The sequence below is a fragment of the Homo sapiens genome, chromosome 4, assembly GCF_000001405.40.
Source record: "Homo sapiens chromosome 4, GRCh38.p14 Primary Assembly".
Classification (NCBI taxonomy): domain Eukaryota; kingdom Metazoa; phylum Chordata; class Mammalia; order Primates; family Hominidae; genus Homo; species Homo sapiens.
In genome coordinates, this window is record NC_000004.12 from 80,257,057 (window position 1) to 80,265,401 (window position 8,345).

Consider the following 8,345-nt stretch of genomic DNA (forward strand, 5'->3'; position numbering starts at 1 on the left):
AGCAGGTAGGGGCTTCATAATCGCTCAAAGACTTTAGCTTTTGAGTAAAGTAACAGTTGATTGACTGGGAGTGGTGGCTCATGCCTGTAATCCCTGCACTTTGGAAGGCTGAGGCGGGTGGATCATCTGAGGTCCGGAGTTTGAGATCAGCCTGAACAGCAAGACGAAACCCCATCTCTACTAAAAATATAAAAATTGGCTGGGCATGGTGGTGCATGCCTGTAATCCAAGCTACTCGGGAGGCTGAGGCAGGAGAATCGCTTGAACCCAGGAGGTGGAGGTTGCAGTGGGTTGAGATCACGCCACTACACTCCAGCCTAGGCAACAAGAATGAAACTCCATCTCAATAAACAAATAAATAAATAAGAATTGATTGTTGGTTTAAAGAAGAGGAGTGGGCTGGGTTCAGTAGCTCATGCCTGTAACTCCAGCATTTTGGGAGGCCAAGGTGGAAGGATTGTTTGAGCCAGGCATTGGAACCACGCCTGGGCAGCATAGAAAGATCCCATCTCTACAAAAAAAATAAAAACATGTATCTGGGAATGGTGGTGGGAGCATATAGTCCCAGCTACACAGGAGGCTGAGGTGCAAGAATCACTTGAACTTGGGAGGTTGAGGCTGTACTGATCTGTGATTCCATCACTGCACTCTAGCCTGCGTGATGGAGGGACATCGTGTCTTAAAAAAAAAAAAAAAAAAAAAAAAACAGAAAAGAAAAAGAAAGAGGAGTGACATAAACTGACTTTTATTTTTTAAAGGATTATTTTGGTTGCTGCATTAAGAATAAATTTTAAGGGCCCAAGGCCAAAAGCAAGGAGACCAATTATTGCAGTCATCCATGTGAGAGGTGATGAGGGTTGCAGTGGAGATGGTGGAAAGTACTTGGATTCTGGATATATTTGGAAGATAAAGCCAAAAGGAGTTTCTAATGGGTTGCATACAGAGAGTGCAGGAAAAAGAAAAATTAAGGATGAATTCAAGATTAAAATTTCTCTTAATGATTTCTCCTGCCTCTCTTCCTTCCTGCCTACAGTTTTTTTCATCCACCCCCAATTTCCCTTTGTATTTATTGCTAAGAGACCCCCCCAAGACTAGGAAAATAATAATATAAGGAAAGGAGAGTGGCTTTATGAGAGACAATGGGGCAGAAGAGAAAAGCAATCTCCATCTGGAGGAAGAATTCAGGCTGGCAGCTCCTCCCACAGAATATTGTGGAGAGTAATTCCAACTGGAAAGAGATACAGATGGAAAAGCTCAAGTGCCCAATCCTTGTAACATCCAGCTTTGTGGGTAATCTTTCACAGGATCAGGGAGGTTCAAGAAATTTCCCTGAGCCATACCCCATAAATATATGCACCTACTATGCACCCACAAAAATTGAAAATAAAAATAAATTTTAAAAAGGGAAAATTTCCTGAGCCAGTGTGGATTTCTATGTATCTTAAGCATGAGCAACAAAAGACTAGGATTTCTAAAGATAAATACTGGTAGTAAAATTTATCTTTGAAAAAATGTGAGCTTTTTTATTTTCTCTTTCCTTCCCAAAGGTTTACTTTTTTTTTTTATTTTGTTTTCCTCCATTTCCATGTATAGGCATAAGCCACATTTAAGTATCTAAACTGTCAAGGGAATTGATAAGAACTTTTCCAGGGATGTCTATTATACTGGATCTATATATATACATAGGACTAGCCCAGAACCACTAATGCACTCAAAATGGTCACTTTCTGAAGGAAATGATCACATAGAAAAAAATCATCTTTGTCCCTTTTTTCATGTCAATATTTCTTTGTTTCCTCTCCCGTTTCTTATTACTTCCCTCTTTCACTCTTATCGGCTGGATATTCTCCTATAAAAGCCATTTAGTTTTTGATGCCTCTAAGCCCTCATATTCCTTAAACTATTTCCTTTAAAAGCGATTTTTCCTCAAATTTGGCCACAGTCAATCATTCATTAACAGACGTTGTGGCCACAGGCTGCATTTCTCAGAAGTAGGCAGAGGAAAGGGAATGTATTCATCGACATCTTCTGTCAGAAGTCAATAAGCTGTCATTTGACCCTCCTGGGCCCTAAGCAGGTGCTCCTTCCTTTCTTCTGACAATTGCAAAGATTCCCTAGACCCCCATGACAGCTCCTAAGTTAGTACTTAGTGGCTTCACTGACAGGTGCTTCTCTGTTTTACCAGACAACAGGTGTTTGCCCAATGCAGCCTGCCAAAAGCCAGGGATTCAGAGTAGAAAACAAAGCCTATTTGCAAAAATGATTACTGTAATTAAGAGCCATGGTGATGCAAACGATGAAAACACTTGTACGTACACCCTTCCCCCACACACACACTCACACTCACACTCTTTCAAATCCTCACTCCCCTAGAAAAAGGAAAGAGCAGGCGGAAAAAAAAAAATCATTCACCATTACCATATACTTTTAAATGCTGTAGAGTCTCACTTCTCTGGGGGAGAAAATTTAAATAATTATTAAGCCATCTTTTGAAGCCATTCCTTTTAAGGATCTTCATTTAGGATTTCAGTTATTGTGCATTCTGGGGATTACAAGGCAGTGTATACTGACAGATTTCCTTTGAGGAACTTATGATTTACTTAAGACCATATATATCATAAGAAAATTGAAACAGCTAAGCAATAATCAAATCACAATATGTTTGATGGTGACCCTGGTTACAACACAGAGTTCCACTGTGTGCTCCTCTAGCTCCCAGCAGAAAATTTGCTCATTTACAACCAAGAAAAGTCGTATTGTAATATGCTGTATGCTCCTAAAACCCTCCCTTAAGGATTACACAGGAGCTTCAAAGATAGGGAAGACAGCAGGGTGATTTGCATGAAGTAAATTCTTTTTTTAAAAAAAAATCTGTGAATGTAAGATTAGTCACTTTTTTTTCTTTTTTTAGGAGCTAATTTAGGACCTTCTCATTGCTCTGACCTGGGCCAGCTACTGAAATGAAAAGCAAATGGACCAAGGGTGTGGACACAGTAGATATGAGAAGTAACAGAATTTATCAGCATGATTGTCATAATACGAGCAAATGATCACAACATTAAAACTAAGTTGTATGTGTCATGTCTTTCTACTCCATTTTAAATCTCATTTTGTGTATGACTGCATGGGAGGTAAAGTGGGGACGTGTCGTAAGTTCTATTTTAGTTGTTATATACCATGATTATCAAATGCTCCTATAATGTGCTTATTGAATAAATGGTCCAAGATTGTTGGGCTAGCTAATTTGCAATTTGAAAAAAAATGATTAAAGGTGACAAAAGTGCAGTTTACAAATAATTCCCTTTTTAGAGGACACAGGAAAAGGAATTCTTTTCTTTCTTTCCCTTCTCTCTTTTTCTTTCTTTTTTATTTTTGTTAACAGCTTTTGTTTAAGTCAAAATCATCTTTTTGACTTCCCATAAAGTGTCTGGTTTCAGAAAAAGTATGCAAAGAATATTTCTCTAGAATGTGATGCCTAAACTTTTCCTGAAAGAAAACAACAAAACACACCAAAAACTAAACTGAAGCAAATTATCCACTTGCTATTGTTGAGGACATCTTTCAGATTCGGTGCAGTCCCACCCCAATAATTGGAGTTGCATCTCCAATTATTGTCCCCCTGAAGAAACCTAAGCACTTTATTTTGAAAAATAAATAAATAAAACATTGTCTGTGTGTTCTGGCTCTCAGACTTAGTCTGAAAAGTCACCTTTGATCAAATTATTTTCTGAACAAACAGCCTTTGAATGGGCTGGTGAATGGATAGCACGTGCATCATAGTTCCAGCAGCTTCCTACTGTTTTCTTGCTGGTACCAGGCTTGGTCTCACTTCTGTTCTCTTCCTGCCCTTCCCATTTGGCACAGGAAAGATGTTCTAGAAGAGGACATACGTTTTTCCCCCCATCCTCTATTCCCACTTTTCTTGAATGAGTACCCATTTGCTTATGGCCTGTCTTTGTGGATACAAACCAAATGCTAGAGCTATTCAAATAGCAGCTATGCTAATTTATCTTTTTTTTTCTTTTCTCATAGATAAGAAAAGTCTGATTTCCACCCAATGCACTCCTTTTGAGGAATTAAGACTGGAAGTATAGGCCGGGCTTGGCGGCTCATGCCAGTAATCCCAACACTTTGGGAGGCCAAGGCAGGCAAATCATTTGATCCCAGGAGTTCGAGACCAGCCTGGGCAACATAGCGAGACCAACCCCCCTCAACCCCCATCTCTATGAAAAATGCAAAAACTAGCCAGGTGTGGTGGTGCGTGCCTGTAGTTACAGCTACTCAGCAGGCTAAAGTGCGAAGATCACTTGAGCATAGGAGATGGAAGCTGCAGTGAACCCTGATTGTGCCACTGCACTCTAGCCTGGGAGACAGAATTAGACCCTGTTTCATAAAAAAAAAAAAAAAAAAAAAAAAGACTGGAAGTACTGCACCCCTCCACATATGTTTAGAATGTCCCCTTTGACATTATTAGATATAGACTGTACCAGTAAGAAAACCCATTACAAAGAGCAGAGAGGACTTTATTTGGGAGGCAGGGAAAGGTGGTATGATTTTTAAATCATGATTTTCATATGCATGTGTAAGGAGTACAGGGAATTGTATCCTTTATCTTCTACGGCTGGCCTTAGACAGGATAAAAGGCTTCCAGTTCTTAAGAGAAAGTATTTCCCTACAACTGGGTAATGCAGGCTAGGATAACTGGGGGTCTATAGTGGTTTGGGACTTAGTGCATGGATGTACCAGAAGCTAAAACAAAAATAGTCACTGGGATAACTGGAAAGCACAGGAGTTGGGCTTTATGAGAAAAACTGATTGCCTTGAGTTCACTTAGGTCACAAAGTACCTCTCTTTAGTAGCAAATGCTGTTTTACTTTCTGACTTCACAGATATAATGTCCAGTGGCCAATGGCCTTTTGCAAACAGGCCTCTTCTCAGAGGGAAGGACTGGACCCTGGAGAAAGAAGTCTAACCTCAGGACTTGCACAATTTGTAACTATACCTTCATCACCCTAAAAGTAGACACTGCACACATTCTTCTGTCCCTCTTGGTCTTTGGTTCTTCCTCACACAGCCGGCCCTTCCCAGCTCAGTGCTCCTTTAGCCACAGGCTATTTGTTGCTGTAGTTGCTGCCAACTTGGCTGGTGAGAAGCCAGGCCTGGAGGAAATAGAGGGTCCTGGCAAGAACCTGGACTGAGGGCCCCCACCAGGTTAGCTTCCGAGTCCTGCAATGCACTGTGCTTCTGTCTTAGTTGGCTTGGGCTGCTATAACAAGACAACCATGGACAGAATGGTTTAAACAACAAACATATTTCTCATGGTTCTGGAGGTTGGGAAGTCTGCGATCAGGGTGCCAGCATGGAGGGACTCCTTCCTTGTTTCCTCATTTGAGGGATTGGGGTTGTGAGAGGAAGAAAGCTCTCTCCTCTTTTTATAAGGGGGAGGCAGAGGGGCATGCACTAATCCCACCTCATGACCTGATTAACTTCCAAAGCCCCATATCCAAATACTATCACATAAAAGAACAGAGTTTTAACTTGAATTTTGGGTACCCAAACATTCAGTCCATAGCAGTCTCTACTAAAAAGTGTATGCAATTAGAGGCCACTGTGGGGCTCCCAGGACCTGATTAACAAAAGATAGTACTATCTGGGTATAGCCTGAGAGTATGAAAGGGTGATAGGAATATAGAGTTGGGTAGGGGTGGGGTGCAGAGGCTTTTGGGACCATGTTTGAAACAGCTATCCCAGGAAAGCATTCTAAAAATCCTTGGGTTTTCTTTGGATCAAACAAAGAAAATTTGGCCTTGCCTTCAAACTGTACAGTCATCTTAAAGCTCAGAACAGGCAAATTTCTCATGGCACCTGCACCTCCAGGAGTGGAGATTTTGGGGTAACTGAGGCTCTTGGAACAGAAGTCTGTGTAAGATCAGCCTGGCACAGTGGCAGCCTGGTTCCTGGGTCAGACAGCCTCCCAGGACAGTGGCTTGCATTGCCAGGGTTGTTCATTCTATTCCATCATCTATCTCTTGTCCGTCCTTCCAACCCAGCATGAGACATTGTAGGATGAACAGTCTTGCCTTCAGGACCCTTGCCTCAGTGAGGCCTGGCCTCAGTTTAAACCCAGGGGAATGTTGTAAATATTGAGACGGTCTCTAGAGTGAAGGAAATATTGGGCTCTGACTTGACTTATACACCCTGACTTCTCTTTTCTTAGGCTTCTGGGTTCCAACCAGAGGTTACCGGTAACTTTATCTTCTTTTGCATTGATTTCTGTCTCTAGTAACCAGATCACACTTGTAGTTACGAAAGGGATAGGGGAAATTCACCACCAGTTTTCCACACAGAAATAGGGGAGGCCTGGAAAGAAAGTTCAGATGCTGGGGTCCAGGAAAAGTGACCCTGAGGGGGTTGGTCTAGGAAATGTGAGGCCTAGTGGGGTGAGACACCGCTGAAAGAGAGCTCAAGAAGAGGGGGTGGGGACCTAAGCCGAAGCCCGCGCACTCACTGCCTGGCGCCTAGGTGACTGGTGGAATCTGCTAATCTGTTGGGTAGTTTTTCCGTCGTCTGTCAGGTGGCGATGAGTGGAAACTAATCTTCGGGGCCGTTTGTTTTACCTCTGCAGGAAGCAGGGCGCTTGCGCCTTCTCCCAACCTTGCTTTCCTGGCTGGGAGAACGCAGGAATTGGAGAACTGAGCTGTGGGCTCGAATCCGCGCATGACCTGGAGATCTGGACCAAGCTCCGAGGCTTAATGGGGAAAGCTGAGATGTCCCCAGCAGGGGGCTTTGGGCGATTAACTTTTCGGAAAGTCGCCAGAGAAAGTGTGGTGCAGGCTTGCGCTCTTTTGGGTGGAGTTCACAGGAGTAGGGCTCGAGGTAGCCAAAACAGTAAATTGAGATAGCTCCCCGCCCCACATTCCCCACTGCAGAATTGCTGTGGACAGAGGCTCTCGAAGATCGGCTGCTCAGAGTGGTAGGCAGGATGTAGACCAGGGCGGGCGCAGCCCTGGCGCATAGCGCGACCCTTTCGTCTCTCAGCTGAGCTGCGGAGGAAGGGGGCTTGGCAGCTCAGCTCACGGAACAAGCGCAGTGCTGTCTTTCATGTTTCACTGTTCAGTTTTTGTAGCTTTTTTTAATGGCCCCAATACATAACTCTCTTGTGAAAAAAAAAGTTTAATAGCATCCACCCTACACACTTATGATCACCAATGGAGATTTCCTTTTAAGCCCCGAGTATGTGGGCACATTCGGCTGCCCGCCCAACCCCCAATCCTCCCACCCCAGTATGGAAGACAGTCGGGCGTTGAGGACTGGTTTGCCAAATTCAATCACTGTCCACAACAGCTGGTCACTTGTCTCCTTTTAGTGAGCCCCTGACTCTTTCTAAGCCCTTGGAATCCAGAAAAGTGTATCTTGCCATCCTCCAGTTTGAGGTAGACTAAAGCCTGAGCAGGTGTCTTTGCCTTCCTGGGTCATCCCTAGGCAAGGATTTGATCCCCAGTTTGGCTCTTGCGGGAGTTGAGAGGGAAACAAGGATGGTTGTTTCAGTGCAGGCGGGGCTGCAGAAACTGAGAGAAGGGAGCAAAGACAAGAGGCTGATAACAGCTCCAGAAACTGGACTCCAGAGTCCTCTTGACCTCCTGGGTTTAGACAGGGGGCTGATAGTGCAGCTGGGGCAGGAACCACTCTCCTCCTCTTTCAGCAGACTCCTTGGGAAAAGGAAAGGGAGAAACAAGCAGCTGGATTTGCTTTGGAGAATCTTCGTCACTTGAGGAATGGGCTGTGTATTTGCGTGGCATGGGGGAACTTACAAATGGCATTCAGCAGCATCAATGTGGCTTAAACCCTGACAGCTTTGCCACAGACCTCAGGGCATTGCCTGAAGAAGGAACAGCACCCAGGTTCAGAACCATCCTACAATCATCCTCCCCAGAAGAAGGTGATTTCAGTCAAGTAGACCATTCTGAGAGATACTGTGACTGTTCTCAATGTCTACTTTTAGGGTTGCCTTGTAAGGATCTGCCTACCCACCCTAGTTAAGGGAGAAGTATATAACTTGAGCCTAGAACAGTGGACAGGGGGTGTGTTCAGCTCTGGACAGTATCTCATGTAGTGTGCCCATGTTATGCACATCTATGTGTGATGTCCTCTTTCTTTATCACAGTGGTTTTACTACACTTTCCAGGTAACCTTCTGTTTTACAAGTACTTTGATGTTACTCTGGCGGTGGAAGATTCCAAACCTGAAAAATCTGCATTGTTTTATATGCGTTTCATTATTGAGATGGAAAACCTTAAGTAGGTACTCAATAATGGGTAAGGCCGTTTCTTAGCTTCAACCTTGGT

The 8,345-nt window shown here is 43.5% G+C and overlaps 1 annotated feature.

The window, feature by feature from the left end:
* Positions 6,285–6,786: an enhancer, noted in NCBI's record as "H3K4me1 hESC enhancer chr4:81184495-81184996 (GRCh37/hg19 assembly coordinates)". NCBI's record gives its function as "activates a minimal SCP1, AML or CMV promoter by ChIP-STARR-seq in primed H9 embryonic stem cells {active_cell/tissue: H9 hESC(primed)}" and the evidence as "EXISTENCE:reporter gene assay evidence [ECO:0000049][PMID:30033119]".